The sequence below is a fragment of the Homo sapiens genome, chromosome 8 (assembly GCF_000001405.40).
Source record: "Homo sapiens chromosome 8, GRCh38.p14 Primary Assembly".
Taxonomy (NCBI): Eukaryota; Metazoa; Chordata; class Mammalia; order Primates; family Hominidae; genus Homo; species Homo sapiens.
In genome coordinates, this window is record NC_000008.11 from 1,757,561 (window position 1) to 1,772,159 (window position 14,599).

At 50.6% G+C, this 14,599-nt stretch overlaps 1 protein-coding gene and 1 long non-coding RNA gene across 11 annotated transcripts in view, besides 2 other annotated features; one reads left to right on the plus strand and one right to left on the minus strand.

The window, feature by feature from the left end:
• Positions 1 to 14,599, plus strand: part of CLN8 (CLN8 transmembrane ER and ERGIC protein) — a 33,512-nt gene that overhangs the window by 4,502 nt on the left and 14,411 nt on the right. For 2 of the 9 annotated variants that reach the window (XM_005266021.5, XM_047421513.1), the window contains exons 1-2: positions 6,229 to 6,365; positions 13,372 to 14,037. In XM_005266021.5, coding sequence (XP_005266078.1) covers positions 13,495 to 14,037 — 543 coding nt within the window. In that variant the 5' untranslated portion in view covers positions 6,229 to 6,365; positions 13,372 to 13,494. Of the gene's footprint in view, positions 1 to 6,132; positions 6,439 to 13,371; positions 14,038 to 14,599 lie in introns of those variants that run through there. The other 7 variants (NM_018941.4, XM_011534747.3, XM_047421512.1 and 4 more) reach the window with 5 other exon arrangements.
• Positions 4,403 to 7,024, minus strand: CLN8-AS1 (CLN8 antisense RNA 1). 2 transcript variants are annotated; one of them, NR_134303.1, is made up of 2 exons: positions 6,874 to 7,024; positions 4,403 to 5,368 (listed from the first exon to the last, which is right to left on the minus strand). It is a non-coding gene; the product is annotated as a CLN8 antisense RNA 1 (long non-coding RNA). The 2 variants fall into 2 exon arrangements; NR_134302.1 differs by lacking the exon at positions 6,874 to 7,024 and adding an exon at positions 5,463 to 5,774.
• Positions 11,583 to 11,877: an enhancer, noted in NCBI's record as "tiled region #8503; K562 Activating non-DNase unmatched - State 14:Gen5'". NCBI's record gives its function as "activates a minimal TATA promoter and a strong SV40 promoter by Sharpr-MPRA in K562 cells {active_cell/tissue: K562}" and the evidence as "EXISTENCE:reporter gene assay evidence [ECO:0000049][PMID:27701403]".
• Positions 13,374 to 13,554: a silencer, noted in NCBI's record as "fragment chr8:1719100-1719280 (GRCh37/hg19 assembly coordinates)". NCBI's record gives its function as "represses an EF-1alpha promoter that drives an FKBP-Casp9 reporter gene in an ReSE screen in HepG2 liver carcinoma cells {active_cell/tissue: HepG2}" and the evidence as "EXISTENCE:reporter gene assay evidence [ECO:0000049][PMID:32094911]".

Genomic DNA, 14,599 nt, shown 5'->3' on the forward strand with positions numbered 1-14,599 from the left:
CTCCCAAATTGCTGGAATTACAGGCATGTGCCACGACACCCAGCTAATTTTTGTATTTTTAGTAGAGACAAGGTTTCACTAGCCTGGTCACGAACTCCTGACCTCAGGAGATCCACCCGCCTCGGCCTCCCAGAGTGCTGGGATTATAGGCACGAGCCACCATGCTTGGGCACTTTTTAAAGGCTGGTTGTTATGGGCATTTTTAAAGGCTGGTTGTTATGCCAATGGCTTCGTCCAATGGGGATTTAAGGCTTCTTTGGGTACTGATAATTACGGCTATTATCTCGGGGTTATCATTTTCAACAGGAAGAACCCTGCCAAATGTTGTTTGTCTGATCCTCAAATAGCAGAAGATTCAGGATCGTCTAGCTTTCATGTTGGAGGAGACTTTAGGGACCAATCTCATCCTTTTACACTTGTGGCTCAGAGAGGTTAAGCAACCCCTCCAAGGTCACACAGCCAGCAGAAGTAACACCCAGCATAGAGATCACCAAGACAGCATCAGAGCCCTTTAGTACGATATCCCGAGTGTCCCGCATGCAAGCCATCGGCACTGTGTTTTGTGGCTCAATATTTTTCAGTTTTTAAGAAAGATACACTTTTTGGAAAAAGAAATGGACACAGTGAATGCCCGCATCAGCAGAAAGACAGTTTTCTATAATGAGTTCTTTTTCTCTTTATTTCTAAGGTTTAATTTTGCCACACTTGCTAAAGAAAACATTATACACGGCCCTTATTAAAGAACGGTAAGACAGACTTGTCAACACAAAGAGTCAAATTTGTAAATTAGTTGATGAGATTTATTCTGAGCCAAATATGAGGACTTTGATTGATGACACAGCCCCATGAGGTCCTAAGAACTGCTGCATAAGGTGGTTGGGTTCTAGCTGGATTTTATGCATTTTAGGGGGACAGAAGTTACAGGCAGAAAATAAGAAAAGGGCAAGACGATCCCCTGCCACCTCCATGACGTCATTTCAGTTCTCTTCTCCAAACACCTCACAGTATCGTATTTCAAAATTCGGCTTTGTCATTTAGCAGTGTGTGGAGGTGTACATGTTGCCAATCGATACATGTAAGGTGTCCAGTGGTTTGGTCCAGAAAGGTGACACAACTCCATGGATGCAGGTGGAAGGTGTCCAGGTCACAGATGGATTCAACGATTTTCTGATGGGCAATTAATTGAAAGAGTTAAGTTATTATTGTAGAGACCTGGAATGAATAGAAAGGATTGTCTGGGTTACGATAAAGGTTGTGGAGACCAAGGTTTTTTATCTTCAGAGCTCTTATTGGACCTAAAAGAGGTGCCAGACTCTTAGTTAAATCTCTCCTAGATCAGGGAAAAGACCTGGAAAGGGAAGGGGATTCTGGCAGGATGTGGATTTTCCCCTCAAGAGACAGCCGTGTGGGGCCCCTTCAAAATATGTCAAAGAAATATATTCTGGGGTAAAATGCTTGATTTCTTCCAGGGCCTGCTCTCTATCATGTGATGCTATACTAGAGTCAGGTTGGAATGTAGTATCTTATTGCTACAGAGTCTGTTTTGTCAACCTTAAGATCTCTGCTTTGACGTTAATGCAGGTCAGCTGTGCCTGGATTTCAACGGAAGGCGGGTATAAGGAGCCTGTCCCACCCCCACTTCCCATCACGGTCTGAACTAGTCTCTAAGGTTTACTTTGGAAAGCTCGTGGCTAACGGGGTTGGCGGGGGACTAGAATTTTATTTTTGTTTTACAGTCTCAAAGGAATCGCGATAGGTGCAGGGGCCACTGCAGTGGGACTAGGCTCAACTCTGAGTGTAAGAAGAAAAACGGGAATGTACAGCCACGGAGAGGGTGAGAACGGACGGAAAACTATGAAGAGGCTACATCAGGCCAGGGGGGTTCTTGCTAGAACCACTTGGTAGGATTCGTGCCACAGGCAGGCCAGGTGATAAGATACCGAGGGTGAGGGATGAGGAGTATGATATCAGGGGCGGGGAACTGTCACTGCATTGACCCAGCAGGATTCTTTTGGACGAAAGGGGACAGGGGTCCAGGTCAGAGCCTTGAGGGCTTCGAGGACCCTGCCTGGAGTTAGGTCAGGTAGAGTCTTTGCCACATTGAGGCTGAGAAGCTGAGCAGCTGATCTGCGGGAGTCCAGAGACCCTCATGCTTCCTGCAGATGTGCTGTCAGCAGATCCTGAACTTGGGTTCCAGTGTTTTAAAGTGTTGTTTGCAAGCACCGCGGTCCTGCTCTCCCACTCACAGAACTACTATTGCTCACTGGTGAAGGACACTGGATTTAAAATCACAGACGTTCTTTTTCGCCTCTCGCTCATTATACATCCCTTTGAGGACACCGTCATTTTGCTGTTTAGGAGGAAGAAACAGGCAGAAGAGAACTCCTCCCATCCCTCCGCTAATGGCTTTTAAAACAGTCTTTTTTGTAATGGAACAACCAAACCTCACAATGAGCGTATATTGCTTGTGTGACCAGAAAGTAAGACAGTCCCCTGACACCTCAATTAAGTCATTTTGGTTGTCTACTCCAGACACCTCATGGCATCGTACTTCAAAATTCAGCTTTGTCATTTAGCAGTGTGTGGAGGTGCACACATTGCTAACCTCAGGCTCACTGAACACTGTTTTTTTTCTATGACGTGGATAATGGTGCCTGCGTCAGACACCTGTGATGTTTGAAAGAACCAGTTTATCAAAGTGCTTAGCCTGACGCCTGACACGCTGTGCACCCAAGATAAATGTTTGTTGTGTCATTCGATCTGTCGAGGAAGGAGGTGAGACACTTGTGGGTGGCAGGGCGGGAGGGGAGTACACAGGCTGTAAACAGCAGTGCCCAAGCTGAGACGGAGCAAGCTGGGAATCCGCCCGGGTTTCATTCAGTGTTCCACACCCCGCATGGATACTGGTTATACCTGTGATCAGTTATGCCTGTGATGGTTTTTTAGAAAACAAAACTATTTTATCACTCTGCTTTAAAGATGGCCGAGTGGAAAGACACAGTCCTGGAATGTTTAAATTCAAGCTGAAGAGCTTACTAGCCACGTGACTGAGCAAGTTATGGTTCCATCTTTCTAAGCCTCACTTCATTCTTTGTTAAGACAGGCCTCAGCATGCTGTTAGTAGGAATCTAAGGAACCCAGTGCTGATGGAGAAAGGGGTCCAGTCCAGACCCTAAGAGAGAGTTCTCGGATCTTGCGCAGGGAGGAACTCAAGGCAGTCGCAGAGTGCAGTGAGAGACAGCTGCTCTGATACAGAGTGGGGAGCCCGCGGAAAGCAGGAAGAAGAATGTGCCATCTTTGTTTCAAAGGCATCTTGTATCAATGTAAAAGCCAAGCTACGTGTAAGTGCAGGTGGGCTGGCAGTGTGACAAGATCTAGTACTTGGTGGATGTAAATAACGTTATCCTTGGCATTTCAGTGCGTAACTACATCTAAGCATGACTATAGCCATCTTTTTTTTTTTTTTTTTTTTTTTTTGAGATGGAGTCTTGCTCTGTTGCCCAGGCTGGAGTGCAGTGGCATGATCTCGGCTCACTGCAACCTCCGCCTCCCAGGTTCAGGCAATTCTCCTGCCTCAGCCTCCCACGTAGCTGGGATTACAGGCTACTGTAACTGCCAATCAGGTTCATGTTGCCTACACAGAGCTGATTTATCCAAACAGGTGAACTGCATAGAGAAAGAATAATCCACACAGAGCTGGCTGTGCGGGAGACCAGAGTTTTATTATTACTCAAATCAATTTCCCCAAGAATTCGGAGTTCAGAGTTTTTGCTGTTGTTTTTGAGATGGAGTCTTGCTCTGTTGCCCAGGCTGGAGTGCAGTGGTGCGATTTCAGCACACTGCAACCTCCGCCTTCAGGGTTCAAGCAATTCTCCTGCCTCAGGCTCCCAAGTAGTTGGCATTACAGGCGTGCACCACCACGCCTGGCTAATTTTTGTATTTTTAGTAGAGACGGGGTTTTGCCATGTTGGCCAGGCTGGTCTTGAACTTCTGACCTCAAGTGATCCGCCTGCCTCGGCCTCCCAGAGTCCTGGGATTACAGGTGTGAGCCACCGTGCCCAGCCCTGGAGTTCAGAGTTTTTAAGGATAATTTGGTAGGTAGGGGGCCAGTAAGCTGGGAGCACTGAGGGGTCAGATCAGAGATGAAATCGTATGGATCAAAGCTGTCCTCTTGGCCTGAGCCGGTTGCTGAGTGCGGGCCACAAGATCAGATGAGCCAGTTTATCCATCTGGATGGTCCCAGCTAATTCAGCAAGTGCAAGGTCTGCAAAATATCTCAAGCACTGTTGTTAGGTTTTTCAATAGTGATGTTATCCCCAGGAGCAATTTAGGGAGGGTCAGAATCTTGTAATCTCCAGCTGCATGAATTCTAAACCATAATTTCTAATCTTGTGGCTAATTTGTTAGTCCTACAAAGGCAGTCTAGTCTCCAGACAAGAAAAGGATTTGTTTCGGGAAACCATAAACTAAGTTTCTTCCAAAGTTAGTTTGGCCTACACCCAGGAATGAACAAGGACAGTTTGGAGGTTAAAAGTAGGATGGAGTTGGTTAGGTCAGATCTCTCACTGTCTCAGTTATAATTTTGCAATGGTGGTTTCACTGGTTTTAAGATGGAGTTTATTTTATTTTATTTTTATTTTTTTGAGACAGAGTTTCATTCTTGTTGCCCAGGCTAGAGTGCCATGGCGTGATCTCAGCTCACTGCAACCTCTGCCTCCTGGGTTCAAGCAATTCTGCTTCAGCCTCCTGAGTAGCTGAGATTACAGGTGCCCACCACCACACCCGGCTAATTTTTTTCTCCCAAACTGCTGGGATTACAGGCTTGAGCCACCGCGCCCGCCAAGATGGGTTGTTGATTTTAAAACGATGTCACCCTGGCTCTCCTAGGTTCCTGTTCCCCTAACATCATGAAGGCTGCTGGCAGTTCTCTGGCCTCCAGGGAGGCCTCCACACACATTTACCCATGTTCTTAGACAATCCTAGGGACTCAAGGCTTCAACAAACCTAAATGAGCCAGCAGAAAAATAAACTTGAACATGAATGTCAACGTTTTCCCACATGTACTAAAGGGTTATAATAATTTTGAAATGTTTATTTCAAAGAGCGTTGGTAATTTAAACGTCCTATTTAATCCCCAAAACAGTCCTGAGGGGGAGATAAGGCAGTTATCTTCATAGTACAGGAAAGGAAAAAAGCGAGGGTCCAAGGCCGACTATACCCTCAGCTCCATTAGCCCCCGAGGCCTCCCTGACAGGCGGGGCGGACAATCCCAGTGCAGATGCTCTGTATCGATCGCATGCTATCGGTTCTTTCAAGGAACGTGTATTGATCATCAATTAAGTGGTGAGTACTCCTCTAGATGTCGATTCTAAAGAGGGAACAAAACACATTAGACAGAAGAAACATAAGTAACTCGAATAACAACCTTAGAGAGAAGAAACATAAGTAACTCGAATAACAACCTTAGCAAACTGCGGAAACTCCTACAGACAAAAACTCAGGTGTGGGCGCAGAAGGGCCGGGGATGCGCTCGGTCAAGACTTGAAGGTCCGGGGCTTGGGCCCTGTGTCCTCACCGAGCCCCGGGGAGGCTCCGGCTCCGTCCACACCCGGAGCGCGACTCAGCCGCGGCCGGGGCTCTTCTGGAGAACGGCGCGGTCAGGCTCTGCCGCAGCTTTCAGGTCCCCTCGGCCCCGTCCGGGTGCAGCGCAACCAGGCTGCCCGCGGAGCCCCACCGCCCCCATGCCGCCGCCCGCCATGGTTCAGCCCGGCCCCGCCCCTCCCGCCGGCCGTGGTTCAGCGCGTCCACCCCGCCGCCCCACAGCGCCCGCCGCGCCGCGCCCCGCCCCCCGCCGCGCCCCGCCCCCCGCCGCGCCCCGCCCCCCGCCGCGCCCCGCCCCCCGCCGCGCCCCGCCCCCCGCCGCGCCCCGCCCCCCGCCGCGCCCCGCCCCCCGCCGCGCCCCGCCCCCCGCCGCGCCCCGCCCCCCGCCGCGCCCCGCCCCCCGCCGCGCCCCGCCCCCCGCCGCGCCCCGCCCCCCGCCGCGCCCCGCCCCCCGCGCCGCGCCCCGCCCCCCGCCGCGCCCCTCCCGCGCCCGCCGCCCCGCCCCTCCCGCGCCCGCCGCCGTCGTAGCGCCTAGGCGGGGCCTCTCGTAGCGACGCCCCCAGGGGGGCAGAACGCGTGCGCACGCGCGTGCGAACGCGCGTGCGCGGGCGGTGTTTGAGGCCGGCCAGTCGTGACTGGGCGGCAATGAGGTCAGTGACTGCCGGGAGTCCTGCAGGGGCGGGGCGGCGCCAAGCGCAGGGAGCCCGGCTGAGTGGCAGCCCAGGTGAGCGCTCAGGGAGCCCGGGTGAGGGCCGGGAACCCAGGTGAGGGGCAGCCCAGGTGAGCGCGCGGGGTGCCCGGGTTAGGGGCCGGGAACCCAGGTGAGGGGCAGCCCAGGTGAGCGCGCGTGGAGCCCAGGCGAGGGGGCTGGGAAGCCCGGGTGAGGGGACCGGGGATCCCAGGTGAGGGGCCGGGAACTCAGCTGAGGGGGAACCCAGATGGGCGCGCGGGAGCCCACGTGAGGGGGAGCCCGGGTGAGGGGCCGGGGTGGCTCCTGGCGTCCGCGGTCCCAGCCCTGCCTTCCGGTGGGCGTGCGGCACCCCGGGCCGTGCGGTTCCCGGACAGCAGCTTGTGGGGGACTTTCGAGCCCCGCAGCCCGGGGTCCTGCCTGCGCGGGTTGGGCGTGGGGGGCTCCTCACCGCGACGCTGACTTTGGAGTCCTTGAGCGGCGCGGATGCCGGACGGAGGGAGGGGACAGGCGGAGGCGGAGGCGGCGCCGTCGCCCCTGACCTCGCTTCCCTCAGACCGGCTGGGCAAGTACGGTCAGCTCACCTGTGTGCCCACGAGGCGGGGAGGCGGCTCCTGCAGAGCCACAGAGGTGCCGTCGGAGCTGCTGTCAAGGACAGCAGGTGTCACGTGGGTGTGGCCTCCACTGGTCACCGAGTTAGCTGGGGCGGAAGGGGACAAGGTGCAGCTCAACATGGTGTGGGAGGCGGAGGGACGCTGGGTCAGTCAGAACCTGTAGGAGCGGGGAGGGACGCTGGGTAAGGTCACCAAAGTGTGCGGGGGAGAGAGCGGGCGCTGGGTCAGGTCAGCAGGAGGTGGGACCCGCCTGGGCTCTGGGCCCTATAGCCAGCTGCTCTAGGTTGGGGTTGGGTGTGGACAGTAGGGAGGGGAGCCAGGGGCTCCCCAGCCTGTGTAGATTCTGCTGTAAGTGACTCTTCTCTGAAAGACTGGCGCGAGGCGGCTGCTTCTGACTCCTGTTTCAGTTTACCCTCTGTGTGAAATCTGTAACTATCCAGCTTCTGCTTACCTCACTCCCGTATTTTGATTTTTATTTACATACAACTTTTCAGGAAGGTTGTGAGAGGAAAGAGCAATGGTGCAGGAAGTGTGAGTGATTGAGGGAATATGAGATGGCCACAGCTCCCCACTGAGCTTGAACACTTCTGTGCCTCACTTTCAGATTGGCCGTCATGGAGGCTGTGGTTGTTAAGGAAGTTCTTCCTGAGCATCCAGTTTCCATACAAAGAGCACAGGTTCTCTAGGTGGCCTCAGAGATGTTCAATACACAATGTCTTCTGATAACGAGGAACTGGGCAAAAGCCTGGTAGGACACCGGGTAGGTAAATGGTGGAGTCCCTGCAACCGTGTTGCAGAGGAGGATTAGCTGTTGCTGAGAGAAGAGAAGCAGGCCGGGGAGCAGCTTGTATACTGTTATCCCCTTTTATGTAAAAAGAAGAGTTTATATCTAGAAAAACAATTGACCCAGCAGGCACCAAAAAATAGTGATGGTGCTTGGAGCTGTGTAAGAGGATTGTAAATTTTTATTTTTGTATTTTTATGCTTGTTTATATTTTCTGAATTTTGTGTATTAAACATGTATTTCTGTTGATTTTGGAAAACATTTTTACAACCCATCAATGTATAATTTTCAAAATGTTAGAAGTATAATTCTCATGTAAATAGCTCTTGTCAGGTTATATTTCAGTCATTAATGCAGTATACAGCAGGATAGGAATGTCAGTTCAAAAGAGAATACACAAAACTAGGATTTTCTTAGTGAGTGGGTAACAGGAATGCTGAGAGAAGATTGCCAGATTAGATAATAAGATTGGTGAATATCCTGTGTGCATTGAAACCACAGCCTTTGGGATTGTCTTTTCTTCTTGATGGAAAGGAGAATTAGCTTTGCAGATTGTAAAATGCGTGACCCACAATCAGTGGTAAATAGTTTAGTTATTTCTCCTAGAAAGTCAAGTGATTGTTGGGGTTGTAAAACACTGAACTTGCGTTAGCAGGGAAAAAAGCATGCAACCTTTTTTTTCCCTTTTGACGTCACTTCCAAGTTTGGATAAATTATCTCAATGAAAAACAAAAATGCTGGTATCCATAGCAGTTTAGCCCCCATAAACCGGAGGAGCGCATAGATGCATGACAGAGTCGAAGGGTTCCAGTGGCCACTGAGCCTGGTTCCTGGTCACACTGCAGCAACAGAGCTAACACTCTTACTGATGTGTTTGCATTCAGATTTTTAAAAAACTTCATGGCCCAGTGCAATAGAAGAGCTGAAACCACAGAATCTTATAAGACAAGCTTTTTGTATACATTTTCTCCAAAGAAAATGAAGATCTGCAGCGTCAAGAGATGGTGGCCTTCCAGGAGTTGTTTATTCTCCGGCTCCACTTCCTCTACTGCAGAGAGGAAAGGGGCTGGTGTGGAAGGGCTTGGAAGCCTTCCAGAATGAAAGAACCAGATGAGTCCATTAGGTTCGGCCTCCAGTTTTTTGTTTTTTTTTTTTTTTTTGAGACGGAGCCTCACTCTGTCACCCAGGCTGGAGTGCAGTGGCGCTATCTCAGCTCACTGCACGTTCCGCCTTCCAGGTTCCCGCCATTCTCCTGCCTCAGCCTCCCGAGTAGCTGGGACTACAGGCGCTCGCCATCACGCCTGGCTATTTTTTTTTTGTATTTTAGTAGAGACAAGGTTTCACCATGTTAGCCAGGATGGTCTCGATCTCCTGACCTCGTGATCCTCCCACCTTGGGCTCCCAAAGTGCTGGGATTACAGGTGTGAGCCACCCTGCCCGGCCGATTCGGCCTCCAGTTTTACCCATGGAAGGAACAGTGACTTCCAGCTGTGCATTACACTTAAGGACTCCTTCATGTGGCCTGAGCCTTATGGTGCACAGCAAGGGAACAGTGGGAACCCCTGTGTCCCATTTTGCGTATCAAGAGTGAGAGGGTGTGGTTGGGTCAAGGAGCAGAAATAGAAGCAAAAGGAGAAGCTGAGCTCTTCCCATACCCCTTCTGTGCTGCCTGACAGAACAAGGCCTAGCCACACTTCTGTGGGTGCCCACCTTGTGACTTGGGGTGAACCACAGCTGTTCTCAGTACAACGCTGATGCCACGAAAGGACAGCAGAGCTCTGCAGGACTCCAGGAAGACTGGGCGCTTGGGCTGGATCCTGCCTCTGGGACTGGCCTTCTACCCTCATGGCTGAGAGAGCTGAGGAGTTCACCTCCTTTGTGAACTCCTGGCTGGAGGATGCTGGTTGGCATTAACTAAACTCAGAGACCCACAGTAACGAGTTAGACTAGAACAGCACCAGCTTACCCAGAAAGTCAGGAGGTTTGAGCAAAGAATCAGAATGGGGGATTCACTACAGGACTGGAAGGGGAAGTAAGCATTCTGGTCTTTATAATCTGCTGTTTCTGCATCCCTAATTGGCACCTGTTCTCTGACTGCCAGGAGGGTTTGCCCACTCAGCTGTGGCTTACCTGTTTCTGTTTCCATGTCTTTCACCTATCTGCCACTTTTCTGTAGATATGGTAATCTCTCCAAAAAGATATCTAGAAAGCTTGAAGACCTGGTAGCTATTTGCTCTTATGGTGAAGATCACACAAACTAGTTGAACATCTGGCTTGTAGTAGGTGCTTCATTTCCCGCTGCTCTGTATGTTTCTTTCTTTTTTTTTTTTTTTTTTTTTTTTGAGACGGGGTCTCATCTTGTCACCCAGGCTGGAGTGCAGTGGCGCAATCTCAGCTCACTGCCACCTCCACCTCCCGGGTTCAAGCGATTCTCCTGCCTCAGCCTCCCAAGTAGCTGGGATCACAGGCATGTACCACCACGCCCAGCTAATTTTTTGTATCTCTAATAGAGTCGAGGTTTGACCATGTTGGCCAGGCTGGTCTCGAACTTCTGACCTTGTGATGCACCTGCCTTGGCATCCCAAAGTGCTGGGATTACAGGCGTGCGCCACTGCACTCGGCCTGCTCTGTGTATTTCTTTTTCCTGTAGTCAGATTCTGGGGTCCAGGGTGGTTAGGAAAGAAACTTGTTTTCTTTCTTTCTTTTTTTTTTTGAGATGGAGTTTTGCTCTGTTGCCCAGGTTGAAGTGCAGTTGTGTGATCTCGGCTCACTGCAACCTCCACCCTCCTGGGTTCCAGAAATTCTCCTGCCTCAGCCTCCTGAGTAGCTCAAATTACAGGTGCGCACCACCACGCCTGGCTGATTTTTGTATTTTTAGTAGAGGCAGGGTTTTGCCGTGTTGGCCAGGTTGGTCTTGAACTCCTGACCTCAAGTGATTCACCCACCTTGGCTTCCCAAAGTGCTGGGATTACAGGTGTGAGCCACCACACCCAGCCTGAAACTTGGTTTCTTAGCTCCTAAATAGTGAAATCAAGATCAGAGCCCACTAAGCCAGCCGCTCTTCTTGGTTTTTGGTTCTCATGTCCTGGAGTCCCTCTCACCTTGACCAAACCAAAGACCTCCTGAAGCATCACTTGGGCTCACCACTTCCACTGAGGTGGATTTGAGTCATTGATCTGGGCAGAGCCTTCTGGAGTCGGGGTTTCTCTCGTCTCAAGGCAGAGGTCCTACAGAAGTTAGTGGTCTTGGCCAAGCGGACATTGATGCAACTGTGGCAAAATGGGACCTATAAGTCAGAGCTGATGACCTACTCGTGGAAAAGTACAGGGAGAAGTTTTACGAGGGGTCCATATTTTAACCTTTAACAGTGTTGTTCACGTTAACCCTTGTAATGGATGCTATTCCTTGCCTGATACCTGTCCTTTCCACCCAGCCTGCTTTTCTTTAATGCTGGTAAGCGGTCTCCCCTCCAGGCATTAGGCTGCACTTGAAGTTGATCTGCTCCTGTGAAGTGCATAGGGGTTCAACGATGCCTTGCTGCACACTGAATACCAGAGCCGAGTGCTCTTGCCAGCCCCTTAATACCATGTTCAACCTGATTTGTCAACAGGTTAACAGAAATGTGTTTGGAGATGTGTAAGTACACTGGAGTCTTGATATATAGCATGACCAGAAGTGTGGGTCACGAGGGCACACATGGGCATGGCAGCCCCTCAGTTGTCATCCATAGCATCTATCAGAGAGCACGCCTGTGTGCCCTGAACTCACGCACCAGGGGCAGCATGACACGGGAGCCGTTTCTCTAGGGAGAAACATGAGTACCAGTGCTGTCTTTCCCCACATCAGATTTGTGTTCAAACAGAGCTAGTCTGTGTTAAAGCTGGAGTGTTAATGGAGAAACAGACAAACTCTTGTACTATTTTGCCTTTGATTATAGACCATTATCAAAGCAAGAGGTTAGGAGTGATCAGTGCTCCCTTGTCATTTGCATCAGGTCCCAGGACTCACATTCTTTGCATGCTTGTGTGAGCTAGTGTTTTCCATGTCCTTGGGGTGTGGTCACAGCGACCTTTTTGCCTGAATAATGATTGGCAAGTTTTTGCTGAATGGCCACAGTGAATGGCTCCTCCTATGCTTCTGGCTCTAGTCCTGCTGTCTCACAATTGAGTCAATTCTGGGGTCTCTTCCGGAGAGCAGAGGGTCCAGCTGCGTGGGGAGTGTGGTGTTCCCAGCCCTGCTGTCTGTTCGCTGGGTGTGAGTGACAAGAGTCCCCACTCCCTGCAGAAATTCCATTACCTGGACAAGTCCCTGCACACTGGGTGAGGGGGGACCAGGCGGGGACCTGAGTCTTTGTCGGTAGCCGTTCCTATGTCATCGTTGTGTGCCTGGGTTTCCTGCCGTGTAAAAGGAAAGGCTGGAATCAATCACACGTCCCTTCCAGTTTTTCAAGAACTTGAGACTCTGGTGTTTGTAGCTTTGCAGACAGGTTCAGGCTTAGGTAAAGTGGACCCTTTCAGCATGATTCAGCATCTGTTCATGTGTTCCATAAATGTTTCTTGAGGGCCCACTGTGGACCCAGTGCTGCATCAGGCAGAGGAGATGCTGTGATGGAAGGCAGGTGTGGTCTGTGCCCTCACAGAGCTTGCTGTCCAGTGGAGGTGAGGATTCAGTAAGCACTTGTCCTATGTGCACCCCACCAGCAAGTCTCCCGCCTTCACAGCAGTCCCAATCAGTCACACAATTCAGGCATCGCAGGATGAAACATATTTAAGTCATTACACTGGGATACACTTTGTTACAGCACTGAACTTCTGCTGTTTGATCCTAGTTAACACCCCAAACACCAAAAATGAGTGTTTGGGGTATGCATCAGGAGCTTGTAGCAAAGGTACTTAACCCAGTCCATGGGTCTCCCCTACTCTGGGAGGGCATCTGGAGCAAATGGCCTTTAAGTGAGGACCTGACAGGTAAGATGATGCCAACTTGGGGAAGGTAAAGACTTTTCCAGGAGAGGGCCCAGCAGCTGCAGAGACCCAGAGGTGCAGGAGAGTGTGATGTTTTCAAAGGACTGGAAGGTTATAGCATGGAGTGAGATGCAGGGGATGGTGAGAGTGGAACCAGAGAAGGTATAATTGATAATCACATTCTGCAGAGTGCCGTAGGTCACAGTGAGGAGTTCAGGCCTTCCCTGCTGCTGTTGAGAAGGCATTCCATGGCCTTAACCAAGGAATAACATGAAGAACAGGAGCACAGGTTTTCGTGACATCCTTGGGGTGTTAACTAGGATCAAACAGCAGAAGTTCAGTGCTGTAACAAAGTGTATCCCAGTGTAATGACTTAAATATGTTTCATCCTGCGATGCCTGAATTGTGTGACTGATTGGGACTGCTGTGAAGGCGGGAGACTTGCTGGTGGGGTGCACATAGGACGAGCATAGGACCGTGTGTTCCTGCCAGCACGGCTCCGGCCTCCTGTTCGTGGCTGGACCGCTCTAGCTTTAGTTTCATTTTCTTTCCTCCTATACTGTCAGTGGATGTTACCTTGGTATGTTTATGCACCCTTGTAAGTTCATTAAGAATAAGGTACAGAATTAAATATTTTGTAGTTTAATGTTTGCGTTACTGGGGTAGTGATGTGTCCTTGTTTCTATCGAGTCAACACAAAATGAATGATCTTTCTTTTAGATTGAAGATGGATACGTGACAATCCCAGGGACCGCTGCACTGACTTCATTTCCTTAGACAAGACACAGTGTAGGGCCCGGCCCGTGTTGGCCCCAGGACTCCTTTGGAATATAGCTGTGGACAATGAATCCTGCGAGCGATGGGGGCACATCAGAGAGCATTTTTGACCTGGACTATGCATCCTGGGGGATCCGCTCCACGCTGATGGTCGCTGGCTTTGTCTTCTACTTGGGCGTCTTTGTGGTCTGCCACCAGCTGTCCTCTTCCCTGAATGCCACTTACCGTTCTTTGGTGGCCAGAGAGAAGGTCTTCTGGGACCTGGCGGCCACGCGTGCAGTCTTTGGTGTTCAGAGCACAGCCGCAGGCCTGTGGGCTCTGCTGGGGGACCCTGTGCTGCATGCCGACAAGGCGCGTGGCCAGCAGAACTGGTGCTGGTTTCACATCACGACAGCAACGGGATTCTTTTGCTTTGAAAATGTTGCAGTCCACCTGTCCAACTTGATCTTCCGGACATTTGACTTGTTTCTGGTTATCCACCATCTCTTTGCCTTTCTTGGGTTTCTTGGCTGCTTGGTCAATCTCCAAGCTGGCCACTATCTAGCTATGACCACGTTGCTCCTGGAGATGAGCACGCCCTTTACCTGCGTTTCCTGGATGCTCTTAAAGGTAAGTGCATGCATCAGCAGAAGATGACATGTGCCTCACGCATTTAATCACTGGCTACAATGTCCTGGACGCTGCCATAAACTCAACAGCAGGCTGGATTGCAGCACACACATTCAGTTACAAACTCATTTTAGTTGAATGCAATATTCTGGTTTTGTTTATTTATTTATTTATTTTGAGACGGATTCTGGCTCTCGTCCAGGCTGGAGGCAATTTTCTTAATTTTAAGTCTTTTAGGCTTTCTCTTCCTTAAGGAAAGAAAGCTCAGTAGATTTTATGGCTCAGTAGATAGCGTCTGGAAGCACTTAATTTTTTCCTTTCTTTTAATACTATATTTATTTATTTATTTATTTTTTGAGACGGAGCCTCACTCTGTCGCCCAGGCTGGAGTACAATGGCATGGTTTCGGCTCACTGCAACCTCCGCCTCCTGGGTTCAAGTGATTCTCCTGCGTCAGCCTCCCTAGTAGCTAGGACTACAGGTGCGCACCACCACACCTGGCTACCTTTTTTGTCTTTTTAGTAGAGATGGGGTTTCACTATGTTGGTCAGGCTGGTCTTGA